Source organism: Homo sapiens, chromosome 2, assembly GCF_000001405.40.
Source record: "Homo sapiens chromosome 2, GRCh38.p14 Primary Assembly".
NCBI lineage: Eukaryota > Metazoa > Chordata > Mammalia > Primates > Hominidae > Homo > Homo sapiens.
In genome coordinates this window covers 69,876,093-69,893,561 of record NC_000002.12, presented here as the reverse complement: position 1 = coordinate 69,893,561, position 17,469 = coordinate 69,876,093, and the positions used below count along the sequence as shown (strand labels likewise).

The window sequence follows — 17,469 nt, the reverse complement described above, 5'->3', positions numbered from 1 at the left end:
CCCAGATTCCATCCTACCCGACAAAGTACTTCCCCAAAGTTGCCTCTGTCCTCAGGGAAAACAACAACAACAACAACAAAAACTTTAGAATGTTCAAAACTACAAAAATTAGGAGAAAGACTGTCTTGCCCCAAGGCTGAACCGTCTGTGGTAGAGCATAAATATGCTTACCAGGAAAGACTCAAACCTCTATTTCTTATTTTATTTTATTTTGTTCCAGGGTACATTTGCAGGATGTGCAGTTTTGTTACATAGGTAAATGTGTGCCATGGTGGTTCGCTACACCTATCAACCCATTAAGCCTTGCATCTATTAAGCTATTCTTCCCAATGCTCTCCCTCTCCCCAGCTCCTCCCCCTACAGGCCCCAGTGTGTGTTGTTCCTCTCCCTGTGCCCATGTGTTCTCATTGTTCAGCTCCTACTTATAAGTGAGAACATGCAATGTTTGGTTTTCTGTTTCTGTGTTAGTTTGCTGAAGATAATGGCTTCTAGTTCCATCCATGTCCCTGCAAAGGACATTATCTCGTTCCTTTTTATGGCTGTGTAGTATTCCATGGTGTATACGTACCACATTTTTTTAATCCAGTCTATCATTGATGGGCATTTGGGTTGATTCTATGTCTTCGCTATTGTGAATAGTACTGCAGTGAACATATGCGTGCAAGTATCTTCGTAATAAAATTATTTATATTCCTTTGGGTATATACCCAGTAATGGGATTGCTGGGTCAAATGGTATTTCTGGTTTTAGGTCTTTGAGGAAACACCACATTGTCTTCCACAATGGTTGAGCTAATTTACATTCCCACCAACAGTGTAAAAGTGTTGAACCTCTGTTTCTAATCAAACCAACTCTTTTCAGTCAGCTCTCTCTAGAATTATCAAGTCTAGTGACCTGGCTTTTAAAATACAAAGAGCTGGGGGATGGAAAGGGACTTTATTAGGTTGGAAAAAATGCCCACCAATCACATAAATTTTTAATTAGATTTATACATTCAGAGTGGCCTGTTTAATACCTGTCCCAACCCAAACTTCCAGGAAAGATCCAGCCATGACATCTAGGATTTCTACCAACAGCCCCAACCCCCAGATGCCTTTGGAATTACCCTGGCAAAGCATGCACTAGGTGTAGAATGGGGAGGTTCAAGGGAGGTGCAGACCCCAGGGAAGAAGATTTAGGGACATCATTGGAGAAACACACCACTAATGATAGCCAGGCGTGGTGACGCATGCTTGTAATCCCAGCTACTTGGGAGGCTGAGGCAGGAGAATTGCTTGAACCTGGGAGGTTGAGGTTGCAGTGAGCTGAGACTGCGCCACTGCACTCCAGCCTGGGCGACAGAGTGGGACTCCGTCTCAAACAAAAAAAAAAAAAAAGAAAGAAGAAGCACACCACTAATGATTGAAGAAATTATCCACAGGAAAGACAGGATTTATGGGAAGCCTAAGGGGGTATGTACTAGATGTGTAAGAGAGGAAGAACATGGTGGCCTCAGGTGGTGGCTGAAAATACTCTTTCTTTCTCTTTCTCTTTCTCCTTCTCCCCTCAGGGCTGGGGTCTCATCTGATGAAAATGCTTTTTAAGAAACCCCTCACCCGGCGCGGTGGCTCACGCCTGTAATCCCAGCACTTTGGGAGGCCGAGGCGGGCGGATCACGAGGTCAGGAGATCGAGACTACAGTGAAACACCGTCTCTACTAAAAATACAAAAAATTAGCCGGAGGTGGTGGCGGGTGCTTGTAGTCCCAGCTACTCGGGAGGCTGAGACAGGAAAATAGTGTGAACCTGGGAGGTGGAGCTTGCAGTGAGCCGAGATCGCGCCACTGCACTCCAGCTGGGCGGTAGAGTGAGACTCCGTCTCAAAAAAAAAAAAAAAAAAAAAAAAAAAAAGAAACCCCTCTAGGACTAAAAATGATTGGAAGGTATGCTGGGGATCAGTTGAATACACAAAGATTTTTTGAATGCATGCGATGCACAGGACACTATACCCCTTTGGCACTAGATTGAAAAGATGAGTAAGACATGGTCCCTGCCTCAAGGAGCTTGCACTCTAGCTGTGGAGGCAGACAGAGGAAGACACCTCTTCACTGTAATGTGGTAATATAAAATATGCACAGTGTGCTAAGGTGACATGAAAGAAGGCTATTCAGCCTAATTTGTCCAAGAGGGTTTCCTGGAATAATAATAATAGCTAATACATACTGTGCTAACTAAATGCCAGGCACTGTTATAAAAATGTTTATGTACACACACATTCACACACAATTAGTTGAGCTGTGAGACTGAAAAGAATACATTGTCCAAGCGAAGAGTAGGAGTAGCAGCAATAGCAAAGGCACAGAGATGTGTCACATTATGACATACACAAGCACTGAAAGAGGTTTGATATTATCATCACTTTGAGTTCACCATGGCAGACCTTACCAAGTACCTGGGACTTTATCCTTACAGTTATGGCTGGCCACTGGAGCATTTCAGGCTGGGAGTGACCTGACCAGATTTGCATTTTAGATGATTCATCTGGATGCCAGATCTAAAGACCTGAGCCAGAAAGAACAAGTGGAGGGAATGAGGGGTTGTACTAAGGCAATGATAGAAGAGAATGAGAAAGAACAGAATCAGGAGACATTTGAGGAATAGCATGGCAGGTATTGGAGGCTAGTTAGATCCAGGCAGTGGGAAGAGAGAGAAGAAACGACTTCCAGGCAGGGCCAGCTTTATAGGCATGTGACCTGTGTAGTCACACAGGGTCCTGGGCATAGAAGGGCTTAATACTCAGCTTTTGCTACTCTTGAAATTCCTACTAATCTTTGAACAAGAGGTTCTGCAATTTCCATTTTGCACTGGGCCTAGTAAAAAGTGTATCTCATAGTGATGCCTACTGAAGTGAGAAAGTCACAATTTGTCAGTTTACTGCTTAACTGAGACACGATGGTGAGTCCATGTGGGAGACAGTGGAGAAGGCAGTAAAAGGGAGATCCCTTTTTTATGTGAGAGCCCCTCTGTCAGTGATTAGTATGGACCCTTCCCTGCCCCTAGATCCCGCCATATCCATTCAGGGGAATTCCTTTTGTACACGTTTGCTCCACAGCATGAGGACCTAGTTACACTTTTGCTTTTGATGACAGGGAGAACATGAATTTCATTTTAGAAGATTATTAAGTGTGAGGGACTTGAGGAACATCCAGATAGATATATTTTTGGTAGGCATCTGACCAGCTACAGACTGAGTCTGATAATTAGGGAAGCAATCTGGGCTAAAGATAGAGATGGTGGGGTGGGCACGGTGGGTTATGCCTGTAATCCTAGCACTTTGGGAGGCTGAGGTGGGCGGATCATGAGGTAAGGAGATCAAGACCATTCTGACTAACACGGTGAAACCCCGTCTCTACTGAAAATACAAAAATTAGCCGGGCGTGATGGCAGGAGCCTGTAGTCCCAGCTACTCGGGGGGCTGAGGCAGGAGAATGGCGTGAACCCGGGAGGCGGAGCTTGCACCAGTGAGCCAAGATTGCGCCGTGGCATTCCAGCCTGGGCAGCAGAGCGAGACTCCATCTTAAAAAAAAAAAAAAAAAAAAAAAAAAAGATACAGATGGGGGAGTGATGCATTACAGGAGTCCATGAAATTGTCCCAGTGAGAAAAGTGTGCTAGATGAGCCAAGGATGGCCCCCATGTGGGGTTAAACAGACAAGAAAAGGCCCAAAGAAGCCAAGATGCAATTGTCAGGTAGCAAAACAAGAGTACAGAACAATGTGCTAGAATTCAGAGGGGTGGAGTTTTGAGAAAGAATGAGAATGTTCAGTGTAGCAAGCTGAATAATGGCCACCCAAAGATAGCTGGTTCTTTCCTCTGGAATCTGTGACTATTACCTTCTGTGGGAAAATGTTTACAGATGTGATTAAGAATATTGAGATAGGGAGATTATCCTTGATTATCCAGATAAACCCTAAATGCCATCACTAATGTCCTTATAAGGGACAGGCAGAGGGATGTTTGATACATACATGAGAGAAGGAGGCAATGTAACCACACAGGCAGAGATTGGATGGTGCAGCCACAAGCCAAGGTCTGCTGGCAGATTCTTCTCTAGAAACTCTGAAGGGAGCACATCCCTACTACACTTTGGGTTTGGCCCAGTAAAACTGGTTTTGGACTTCTGGCCTCTAGAATGGTAAGAGATGCTCTTGTTTGAAGCCATCAGGTCTGTGGTAATTGGTTGCATCAGCCTCAGGAAACTAATACCATCAGCTATGTCAAATGCAGCAGGGAATCCTTTAAAACAGGGGTCCCTAATTCCCAGGTCATGGACCAGTATGGGTCTGTGGCCTGTTAGGAACCGGGCCACATGGCAGGAGGTAAGCAGCTGGTGAGCCAGCATTACTTCCTGAGCTCTGCCTCCTGTCAGATCAGCAAGGCACTAGATTCTCATAGGAGCGCAAACCCTACTGTGAATTGTACATGCGAGGGATCTAGGTTGCATGCTCCTTATGAGAATCTAACTAATACCTGATGATCTGAGGTCAACAGTTTCATCCCGAAACCATCCCCTGCCCCCATCCTGTGGAAAAATTGTCTCCCACAAAACTGGTCCCTGGTGCCAAAAAGGCTGGGGACTTCTGCTTTAAAATAAGAACTGAAAACTGTCCACTGGATTTAGCTTTATAGAGGCCATTGGTGAACTTGCTGAAAGTTGTTTTTGGGGAGAGTAGGTAAGACAAATTACAAAGAATTACATTCATCTTTCCTGCTCCCAAAATCCATACCAGCATGGGACATTAGGGAAGATGCCATCAGCAGAGCAGAAGCTGAGGAATTTCCCAACCAGAAAAATCATACCTAAGACAGTGGCAACTCAACACAGCGAAAGAAGTGATGACTGAAAAGGTGAACAGATCTCTCTTTGTAGTCACATTCATCCACCTCTCCTTCACCACCCCAGGCCTGCGGCAACCACTAACATTTTTTCTACCTCTGTAGCTTTCCATTTTAAGAATGTTATATACATGGAATCATGTGATACATGACCTTTTTTTTTCTTTTGAGACAGAGTCCTGCTCTGTCGCCCAGGTTCAAGCGATTCTCCTGCCTCAGCCTCCCCAGTAGCTGGGTTCGCATGCATGTGCCACCACACCCAGCTAATTTTTGTATTTTTATTAGAGGCAAGGTTTAGCCATGTTGGCCAAACTGGTCTCAAACTCCTGGCCTCCAGTGATCCACCTGCCTCAGCTTCCCAAAGTGCTGAGATTACAGGCATGGGCCACCGTGCCTGGCTGATACATGACCTTTTAAAATGGACTTTTTTCATTACAATGCCCTTGAGATCATCCAAGTTATTGTATCAGTAATCTGTTCCTTTTTGTGGTGGAGTTGTATTCCATAGTATGAATGTACCACAGTTTAACCATTCACCAATTGTAGGACATTTTGCCGGTTTTGGCTTTTAGCTATTACAGATAAAGCTGTTATGACAATTTGTATACAGGTTTTTCTACTGATAAACGCCCAGGAGTGTGATTGCTGGGCTTTATGGTAAGTGCCCGTATAGTTTTTTTTTTTTTTTTTAAAGAAACTGCCAATCTATTTTCCAAAATGGTTATGCCATTTTACGTGCCTACCAGCAATGTATGAGAAATCCAGTTTCTACACATCCTCACTAGCATTTGGTGTTGTCACTATTTTTTAGGTATTCTAATAGGTAGATAGTGATATCTCATCGTGGTCTTAACTTGTATTTCCCTAATGGCTATCTCAATATATTTCCATATTCTTATTTACCATCCATATATACTTTTTGGTGAAATGTCTCTTCATGTCTTTTGTCCATTTTCTGTTTGGATTATTGGTTTTAACTGTTGAGTTTTTTGTTGTTGTTTTGTTTTTTGTTTTTTTTATTTTTTGATACGGGTCACCCACGTGGTGTGAACACAGCTTACTGCAGCCTCGACCTTCTGAGCTCAAGTGATCTTCTTACCTCAGCCTCCCAGGCAGCTGGGATTACAGGTGCATGCCACCACACCCAGCTAATCAAAAAAAATTTTTTTTTTTGTAGGGATGGAGTCTCCCTACATTGCCAAGGTTGGTCTCAAACTCCTGGACTCAAGCGATCCTCCCGCCTTAGCCTCCCATAGTGCTGGGATTGCAGGTGTGAGCCACCATGCCTGGCCAATTGTTGAGTTTTGAGAGTTCTTTATATACTCTAGATATGAGTCCTTTGTCAGATATATGATTTACAAATATTTTCTTCCAGTCTGTGGTTTATCTTTTCACCCACTTAACAGGATCTCTTACAGAGGAAAGTTTTAAATTTTGAGTAAGCCCACTTATTATCTTTTTTACAGATTGTGCTCTTAGTGTCATGCCTAAGAACTGTCACCAAGGCCCAGAATCCTGCTGTAGGTTGAATGTTTGTTTCCCCCAAAATTCGTATGTTGAAACCTAACCTCTGGTGTGATAGTGTTAGGAGGTGGGGCCTTTGGGAGGTGAATAGGTCATGAGGATGGGGGTCCTCATGAATGGGATTAGTGCCCTTATAAGAGAGACCCCAGAGAGTTCCCTTTCCCCTTCCATGATGTAAGGACACAGCAAGAAGGCACTATTCTGTTCTATGAACCAGGAAGTAGGCCCTCACCAAATGAAGAACATGCTGATGCCTTGATCTGGAACTTCCCAGCCTTCAAAACTGTGAGAAATACAATTCTGTTGTTTATAAAGCCACCCAGTCTATGGGATTCTGTTCTAGCAGCCTGAATGGACTAAGACTGTCCAAAGACTTTCTCCTACGTAATCTTCTAAAGGTTTTATAATTTTACATTTTATATTTAAATGATATTTTGACTTTTGTATAATGTGTAAGGTTTAGGCGAAGATTCACTAAACCTCTTAGTGTTATATTTGGTCAAATGCTTTTTCTGCATCTATTAATATGATCATGTGATTTTTCTTTAGTTTGTTAAAATGGTAAATTACACGAATTGATTTTCAAATTGGTTCATATTGAACCAACATGACCCAGAGAATCCCTCTGTTGGGTATGTACCCAAAGGAAATAAAATCAGCACCACAGAGGTGTCTGGGCTCCCACATCAATTGCAGCATTATTCACAAGAGTCAATCTATGCAAACAATGTAAGTGTCCATTGATGGATAAATGGATCAATTGTGCTATATATAAAATGGAATATTATTTGGCCTTAAAAGAGGAAATATTCCATTTGCAAAAACATGAATCAAACTGGAGGACATTATGCTAAGCGAAAAAAGCCAGACACCGAAAAATACTGCATGATCTCATTTATATATGGGATCCAAAAAAAGTCACATACATAGTGTACAACAGTAGTTACCAAGGGCAGAGAGGAGGAGGAAATGGGGAGATGTAGGTCAAAGGGTACAAACTTGCAGTTATGTAGGATCAATAAGTCTAGAGATCCAATGTGCCACAAAGCTACAGTTATTAATCTTGCATATTGAAGTTTTGCAAAGAACGTAGATTTTAGGTGCTTTTACCACACAAAACAAGAGGTAACAGTGGTAGATGATGGATATATTGTCTGCATGTCCTAATCTTTTCACTATGTATATCAAAACATCATGTACACTTTAAACATACACAATTTTTTTTAAAAGGAAAACAGCTCTGGGATTTGAGTTTACTTTCAGCTCCACTGCTCCACAGCTTTACCAACTTGGCTTTAGGCTTTCAGTTTTTTCTTCTCTAAAGTGGGAATAATAAAGTTTAATACTTTAGACTATTGTGAGGAATAATAGCACATAGCCTTTAGTAAAATGTGTGTTTTAAAAATCTGGACTGTTTTAATCAGATATGGTGGCTTAGTCTGTTTCTACTGCTATATCAGAATACCACAGACTGGATATACAAAGAAGAGTTTATTTGGCTCGTGGTTCTGAAGACTGGGAAGTCTAAGAGCATGCTTCCAGCATCTGGTGAGGGTCATCTCATGGTGGAAGGCATCGTGTGGTAAGGAAGCACGTGCAACAGAGAGCAAGAGGCGGAGGGGGCAAACTCATCATTTTCATCAGAAACCCCCTCCCGCAGTAATGGCATTCATTCATTCATGAGTGTGGAGCCCTTGTGACCTAATCACCTCTCCAACGTCCTGCCTCTCAACACTGTTAAAATGGGAATTCAATTTCCATTTTATGAACTTTTGAGGGACACACTCAAACCATAGCATATGGTAAGACACAGAGACACAGAAATGAATGTCACGAAGGAAGATGTTTTTAACTGGGTAAAACATTACAGTTTCCTAGAAGCAGGAGGCATGGCATCCCACACAGGGAAGCACTAGGGTTGACCAGGAGGTGAAGGGAATGAGGGGAAAGCATGGGTGAGACTTTACTGTGGTTGTCATGGGAAGGAATGGGCGAGGCAGGGTAAGCAGCTTCTAAGACTGGCTAGTTTGAATAATTTCAGCAGGCTCTCAGGTGAGAGGCTGGCCCTGGGGTGATTAGGGGATGGGAATCTTGGCTTGGCTTATGAGAGTTTGTTAAAGGAGGTAGTTGGGGATACAGGCTTTGGATTGGCTGGGGTGTATATGTAAGGCATGCTCCAATGGGAGTCTTTTGCAATCTCTAGGAATTAGTCCTAGGAAGAGAAGTCTTAGCAAGAACCCAGATGTCAAAACATCAGAAAATAAAAAGGCATGTGACTACAGTTTGTCATTATTCACACATTTATGGCACACTGCATGTATCAGAGGATTAAACAATGAAAAAGACACAAGTCCAAAAAAAAAAAAAAAAAAGACACAAGTCATGAGTAGCTTGCAGTCCAGTGGGGGATACAAACAAGTAAACAGTGTGAAAGTGCATTAATGGGGAAACAGAGTATTAGGATGGCACATACCATGGGAGGGTTGTGAAGAAAAGTTTCCAGGAGAAAATAATGTCCAAACAAGACCTAAAGTATGAGCAGAAACTAGCCAGGTGAAATGGGGTGACATCTGTGGTGGGGAAAGGGGGAAGAGATTGTCCAGGCTGAGGAGACTGCATGTGCAAGGGCAAGAAGCGAGGCACAGGATGGGCTCTTTACAGAACTAAAGAAAAGTATAGACAGCCACCTTGGGGGCAGAGTGCAGAGATGTGAAGACAAGGCTGAAATAGACTTGTTAGCTATTGTACAGAGTTATCCTGAGGGCAAATGGGGAACATTCAAAGAATTTTAAGGATAGGAGAATAGATAAGAGATTTGAGTTTATGCAGATAATGGGTAATGTGGAGACTCAATTAGAAGGGGAAACACAGGAGGTTGGTGCAAGAATCTAGGTTGGAAATTATCATGGTCTGTACTAGAATGGTGGCAGTGGGCAAGGTGAGAAGTGGCTGCATTTGAGATACAGTTGGTAAAACCAAAAGAACTTTGTGATTTCTGGATGCAGAGCATGAGGGAGTTGGAAGATTCAGAATGACATCTAGGTTTCTGGCTTGCACAATTGAGTAGCGTGATTTGCTGACATGAGGCATACAAGACAAATTCTGGGGAAAGCAGATGCATGCAGATCTGGACACGCTAGCTTGAGATGCTATTTTGAACACTCAAGAGATGTCAGCTAGATGTGTATCTGGAACTTGGAAGAGAGATCTAGGCTGAAACTACAAGAAAAGGAATTACCAAAATACAGATGGTCATTTGAAGCCATGAGAGTACATGAAATCACCTGGTGCAGGCTCAGGAGAGAAAAGAGCCTGGAGACAGTCAGAGGAAGAAAACAAAATGAGACCAAGGAGTGGCCGGAGAAATAGAAATAGTGTGATGTCAGAGAAGTTTAAGAGAAGATTCCTTTTTAAGGAGAGCAAAGTGGTCAATTTTAAATGTTAGTTAAAAGGAATGCACATCTAACCTACAGGATTGACAGCAAAGTCTTTGTTGACCCAGGAAATTTTATTTTGAGCCAGGAAGTTAGATTTTTTTTTAACCTTTGCCAGTCCTAGTTCTTATAAAATTACCAGCCATTACAAAAGTATTCTAGTTTATTTTTAAGAGACAAGGTCTTACTCTGTTGCCCATGCTGGAGTATAGCGGGCACAATCATAGCTCACTGCAGCCTTGAACTCTTGGCTCAAGCAGTCCTCCGCCTCAGCCTACTGAATAGCTAGGACTACACCCAGCTAATTTTTATTATTTTTATATTTATGTATTTACTTTTTTGAGATGGAGTCTCACTCTGTCGCCCAAGCTGGAGTGCAGTGGCGTGACCTTGGCTCACTGCAAACTCTGCCTCTCGGGTTCAACAGATTCTCCTGCCTCAGCCTCCCGAGTAGCTGGGACGACAGGCACGTGCCACCATGCCCGGCTAATTTTTGTATTTTTAGTAGAGACAGGGTTTCACCATGTTGGCCAGGCTGGTCTCAAACTCCTGACCTCAGGTGATCCACCCTCCTTAGCCTCCCAAAGTGTTGGGGTTACAGGCGTGAGCCACTGCGTCAGGCTTCAGCTATTTTTTTAAAAAATATTTTTTGTAGACATGGGGTCTTGCTATGCTGCCCAACCTGGTCTCAGAACTCCTGGCCTGAAGAGATCCTCCTGCCTTGGCCCCCCAAAGTGCTGAGATTACAGGCATGAGCCACCATGCCCAGCTTTTTATACTTTACAAATGAATGCACGCTGTTGAATAATTCTGCTCCATAATTAGATACAGTCTGACCACTAGTAAATAATGATTGATGCCCTTTGAGGATTTTTGCTCTTTGTACCCGTGTACCTTAGACCTTGGGAAGAATTAAAACTCTCTGGTTGAGGAGAGTTTGTATCATGCCCTTTTTAAAAAATTATTTTAATCCAATAACATGATTGGGTCCATATTGGTTGAACATATTTCAGGAGATTGACAAGTCATCTATGCTTATCATTTGTACCCCTGGCTCTATTATTTTCTATTCTTTACACAGGTTCATCTTAAACAGTATAACCATTACCAGTCCAATATTCTACATCAGCTATCAGAACTTTCTGAAATAGAAATATTCTATAGCTGTACTGTCCAATATGGTAGCCACCAGGTACATGAGTTACTGAGCACTTACAGTGTGGCTAGTGTGACTGAGGGAGTACATTTTAAATTTCTTTAAATTTTAATTAACTTACACTTAAGTGGCCACAATGATCTTCAGTAACCCTATTTTTTTAATGTATTTTTTGAGATGGAGTCTTACTCTGTCACCCAGGCTGGAGTGCAATGGTGCGATCTCGGCTCACTGCAACCTCTGCCTCCCAGATTCAAGCGATTCTCCTGCTTCAGCCTCCCGAGTAGCTGGGATTACAGGTGCCCGCCACTACGCCCAGCTAATTTTTGTATTTTTAGTAGAGACGGGGTTTCACCATGTTAGTAAGGCTGGTCTCGAACTCCTGACCGCAGGTGATCTGCCCATCTCGGCCTCCCAAAGTGCTGGGATTACAGGTGTGAGCCACTGTGCCCAGCCTCCAGTAACCCTATTTTTGCATTTGATGTTGAAAATTGCTCACATATGATGGTAATCCTATTGAAAGACTTGAAATTAGATAAAATGTTAGCTGTGAAACACTTCATAAAAAAAACAAAACAAAACAAAACAGGCCGGGCAGTGGCTCATGCCTGTGATCCCAGTACTTTGGGAGGCCAAGGCGGGCGGATCACGAGGTCAAGAGATGGAGACCTTCCTGGCCAACATGGTGGTCAAGAGATCGAGACCTTCCTGGCCAATATGGTGAAACCCCGTCTCTACTAAAAATACAAAAATAAGCTGGGCGTGGTGGTGTGCACCTGTGGTCCCAGCTACTCAGGAGGCTGAGGCAGGAGAATTGCTTGAACCCAGGAGGCAGAGGTTGCAGTGAGCTGAGATCGCGCCACTGCACTCCAGCCTGGCGACACAGCGAGACTCCGCCTTAAAAACAAAACATAACAAAACAAAACAGTGACTACCACTGTTCTCCACATGGTTTTGCCTATCTTGCTAAGTTTCCATGCCAAACCATTTTTTTTTAAAGGAAAGGTATTTATATCCCTTCTTAATAACTTAGTGTGAAACTCTAGGACATATTCTCTTAAAGACCTCTTCCTTACTAATAGACAAACACAAATCATTCTTAAAATTAAATATTGTTTTCTAGCTCTAGCATAAAAAAATAGTAGAGGCTGTAAGACAAAAGCTGACAAAACACAAAGCTTTCACAAACCATGGTTTATACAATACTTTATCTTACACTATTAACACTTTATTGAAAATATTTCTATTGAAAAGAACTCTGGAAACACATAAAAATATTTGGTAAGAAAACAAAAGCACATCTTTACTACCAGTGTGAATTACTACCTGACAATTATCAACTTCTCAAATAAGAACATTAACCTACTTGTGATTGAAGAAAGAATTATCCTGTCTATGGATGACATAAGCAACTTGGCCAGGACAGAACCAATGGATGAAACCACATATAAATCCAATTTGGCCAGTTAACTTATGTAAGTGAAATGAAACAGTTAACTTTATTCATTAATATGATCAAAACATTATCTTTACTTCCAAGATCTGCAAAAACTTAATTATCCAAATAATTTAAGTTTGGAATTTATATATTTTTCAATACATAAAGGGTAAGGAAACTCTTATACAGTAATGAGACGGAAAGAAAACAACAGCTTCCCGTGAAAAAGACCTAATGTAGTCAAATATAAAAATAAGTACAGTAGCCTCTTTTTTTTTTTTTTTTTTTTTGAGACGGAGTCTCACTCTGTCGCCTAGGTTGGAGTGCAATGGCGCAATCTCCACTCACTGCAACCTCTGCCTCCTGGGTTCAAGTGATTCTCCTGCCTCAGCCTCCTGAGTAGCTGAGATGACAGGCGTGTGCCACCATGCCTGGCTAATTTTTATTTTGTGTATTTAATAGAGATGGGGTTTCACCATGTTGGTCATGGCTGATCTTAAACTCCTGACCTCAGATGATCTGCCTGCCTCGGCCTCCCAAAGTGCTGGGCTTACAAGTGTGAGCCACCACACCTGGCTGACACCCAGCTGAAATGTAACCTCTTGATAACAGCCAAATCACTGTATTAGAAACATTTAAATTCCAGCTCTGAGGGTCAAGGGTGAGGCATTTAAAAGGTTCCTTTAAGTTAAACCAAATGGATGAATTTTAAAAGAACAAAAGCAATTTATGAACCTATGGGCATATCATTAAAAAAGAAAAAAATTATTAATAAATTCCAAAAGTTAAAAGGAGTTGGGAAAAAAACCTAACTAGAAAGAAAAAATTTTGGTTTCAATTAAGGGGGATTTTTTGGTCCATTTTATGTAAGAGCTTACTCTTTTTCCAAATGGGCATTTATTATTTGCACAGATACATAAAAATGATTCCCATTTTAAAAACCATAATAAAAATATACATTAACCACAGAAGTACTTACTCTAACTGGAAAGAAAATGAACATGGCTATTTTCAAAACAGTAATAAACACAAAAGGTCAACATACATAAATCATGACAAGTGTACATCTCATTTTTGACAAAAATAAGTTCCATTTTTACATTAATGCTTCATCATCAGGCTCCATATTACATCCTCTGACCTTATTTACATTTACTATGAAATTTCTATTAGCATGTGTCACTCAAAGGCACTCAATTCAGAGGGTAAAAAGTCCTGAGCTTAAGTAGGAAACAAAGTTCCCAACTAAAATTTGAACATAAATAATTCTAAAGATCAGAGAATATTAAAATGTTTAAAACTATAATATCTGGTACATAAATAATTCAAAACCTAATAATAAAGGTGTACAGACTGTCAAAGAAAAGACCATGTAAGGCAAGAAATATCCTTGGAATCAAACTGATTTTTCCCTCATTCAAGATCATTTGAAGGTGCAAAGCTAACTTTCACTGTTCTTAAACTCCTAGGAAAGTCAAATTAAAAAAAATAGCAATGACAATGCTTAAGTTTTAAAAAAAGTTTATCAGCTTAGTCTCCAAAACCAGGAAGAAAATATTTAATGATTAAAAACAAGTATGACCTGGAAAGATATTAGACTAAAAGGAGGAATCACAATGAGCAGGTGAAAATGTTAAAGGAAAGCTTTCAATACACCAACTGAAAAAGGCATTTCTAATTGGCCAACCAAATTATTCTTTTAGATTATTTTAGCCAAATAAAAAGAAATTTACAGATGGATAACTGAGGTCCACTAACATAAGGTAGAAACAAAGTTTAAGCTAAAAATTAAATCTATATTTTGTTGCAGATAAATGTGAGATTTACCTACAGCAATTTTCTATTGATGCTAAATTAAAAGCATGAATTGACATCGTTCTAACAGAAATGGTTTGACAGATATTTTCTTGGCTTTAAAATGTTCTTACGCATATGCATAGAAATGCAATGAGGATAAGAATAATCTTCTGTATTGTCTGTACAGTTCATAAGGCCTTTGTCATTGTTAGTCACCTTCGATGTGAATATCAGTAGGGCCATTAAATTAAAGCTGGCCTAAAAAGTTTTCAAAGTGCTACTGTTTCCAACTGATGAAATCTTCAGTTTTCTGGATTTTCTGGGTGACGATTATTTTCAATTCTTTTTTTCTGGTGATATATACAAGAAGTTACAGCAGATATATAAAGGGAAGATCAGAAGCCTGCTGTCCAAGTTCATCACCACTTGTTCCTATAAGACAGATTTGTAGATTCAATGACAATTAGATAAAATAAAAACAAAAAACCAAACTGTTGAACTGAGTGAACCAAAGGAGATAGTGTCCTGAGTCTGAGATCCACAACTCCACTCTCCAAACTCCCACCCATTAGCTGTGTGACCTTGTCAAATGCAGCTTCCTCACTGTAAGATGGGGACAGTAAGAGTACCTGACTTAAAGGAGGATTACAAGAGATAATACACAGGGGGTTTTGCAAAGCCAGCTATCTATTAAGTACTCAATAATGGTAGTTATTTTCATTATTGCAAAAATTTCTATCAAATACTTACATATTTTGTCAACAGATACAATGTCTAGAAATACATAAACTTCTCACTGGGCTTCAATTTTTAAAAAAATTTATTTCCTTTTACAAAATTAATTAATTATTTTTAAAAATGAGATAGGGTCTTTCTATATTGCCCAAGCTGGCCTTGAACTCCTGGGCTCAAGAGATCTTCCTGCCTCATCCTCCCGCCTCAGCCTCCTGAGTAGCTGGGACTACAGGCAGGTGCCACTGTGCCTGGCTACTTGGCTTCAATTACTGATGGCCGTTGGGTACAGCAAATCACCCAGATGAAGGTCGGGAGTCATTATCATCATCAAAAAGCAGGGTTCCTACTATTGACATTTCCCACTGTCCCTATGACAAACATGTAATTTGTCTCCTGAAACATAAAATACATTATCATGGAAAAGCAATTTCAGGTTCAGTTACATCAACACACACAAGAATGCTCAGAACTCCCAGAGACAGGAGCTGACACTACACAAATATAACATCCCTGATGCTACAGATCTCTGTTTGGAACCTCATATATCCTTTACTAGAAGCATTTGGTAAATAGAATCAATCCTCAGAGTAAAAGAAGAAACACTAAAATGAGAATTCCTACGTTTTAAATGCCTGGGATATGCTCTCTGCAATAGTATGCATTAGTTACACTTTATTTATTTTGGATAAGATACTATTAAACACTGTTTAAATCCAAAGTTTTAATTTTTTACTGAGACATGTATTCCTGCATGAAGAGGAACTAAAACTAGAATATCTGTGTGACTGAAGCAGACTCACTAGACACAGCTTCTGTGTTGAGGGAACAAGAAGATAAATTTGAATAAAGAAGGTAGAGAGTACAAATGTCTCACACACACACACACACACACACACACAAACACACAATCTCTCTCTCTGTACGAGGGAAAGTGGTATTATAAAAAGACATCAGTGAACAAAATCAGGGGAGGCCATCACCTAGACTGTGCTAACAAGTGTCACCAGAGAGGAATTATGCCAAAGCATGGTTGGTCTTCAGATGCTTGAGACATCCTGAACTAGTCAAAATTTATATCAATAATCTGGGTGAAGGCACATTTACCAAATTTGTTGAGGACAAATGTTTTGATGATATGTATATCTGATGATAAAAATCAAGATTCTGTTCCATAACTAAAAGGCTCTGAGGAAGATTAGCCTTCTAGTATTTGAATACAGTTAAGATTGAGGCAGGGAAGGGTAGGTCAAAGGGCCAACTCTGGAGAAAGAAGGAAGGCACGTGGATATCACTTGGCTGAATGGATACACCAATTTTTGAATATTAAATTGTATTAATCCCCACTCTCCATTCCCAAACAGGATAGGTCGATCCGAGCTTCATCAAATCTGTTGTTTCACCTAAAGGTTCAATCTGCATCTACATTTGCATTGAAGTACCTTTATAGCAAAGTTCTATTTTCCTTATTCCATTGTGGATGGAATCTGTGGAGCCCACATATAGCAGCAGCAGAGCAGCAGCAACTTCCTAGGTCCCCATTTCTACTTCCAGACAATTAAATAAATTTCTGGGTATTTGTTGTTGTTGGTAGTGTTTTTTGTCTGTCTGTTTTTGTTTTGAGACAGGGTCTGACTCTGTCACCCAGGCTGGAGTGCGGTGGCATGATCATGGCTCATTGCAGCCTCAGCCTCCCAGGCTCAAGTGATCTTCCTGCCTCAGCTTCCAAGTAGGTGGTACCACAGGCACATGCCACCACGCCCGGCTAATTTTTCAATTTTTTGTATAGATAGGGTTTTGCTAAGTTGCCAGGGCTGGTCTTGAACTCCTGGTCTCAAGCAATCCTCTGGCCTTGGTCTCCCAAAGTGCTGGGATTACAGGCATGAGCTACCACGCCAAGCCTGCAATTTGGCTTTGATTCTCCATCCCAGCTTTTCAATGTCTCACCAGGTTACCTTTTTTGTCCATCTCTTAAATACCAGTGGTCCCTAGGGTTCTATCCTGTCATATTCTCTACACATTTCCTGTACATTATCTCATCCAATTATTATTTCTAGTTCAGGCATTACTTGTAAACTCCAAATCCATTATTCACCAGCCTATCAAATTTTCACCTTGATGCTCTCAAATTAAACATGCCCTAAACAGAATTCATCATCTCTTCACCATCACCAACACTATGTCATGTTCATTTTCCTTCCTATAATTCAAATCTCAGGTAAAACCACTACTGTAAATTAAATTGCTCAAATCAGAAAACCATCTGACATTTCCTCATGCACACACACAATTAAGAATCAAATTCTCAATTGCACCACTTTATTTCCAGAACCCATCAATATTTTCCTCTTCATTGCTACATTCTTTAAGGTTCTTATCACTTTTAATCTGAATTATAGCTATATAATCATAAATTGTTTTATTGCCATTATCATATCTTTAATCCTTCCTACACATTGCTGTCTGACGGAACCTTCTATAGTGAAAATCCATTTAGCATGGTCTTATAAGATGGA

General features: G+C 40.7%; 1 protein-coding gene across 5 annotated transcripts in view; it reads right to left on the bottom strand.

The window, feature by feature from the left end:
• The window catches only part of GMCL1 (germ cell-less 1, spermatogenesis associated), a 51,725-nt gene continuing 46,433 nt past the window's right edge, over nt 12,178-17,469 (bottom strand). For all 5 annotated transcript variants that reach the window (NM_178439.5, XM_011533033.3, XM_011533034.3 and 2 more), the window contains one exon: nt 12,178-14,653. In NM_178439.5, the coding sequence (NP_848526.1) occupies nt 14,558-14,653 (96 nt within the window). In that variant the 3' untranslated portion in view covers nt 12,178-14,557. The remainder of the gene's footprint in view (nt 14,654-17,469) is intronic.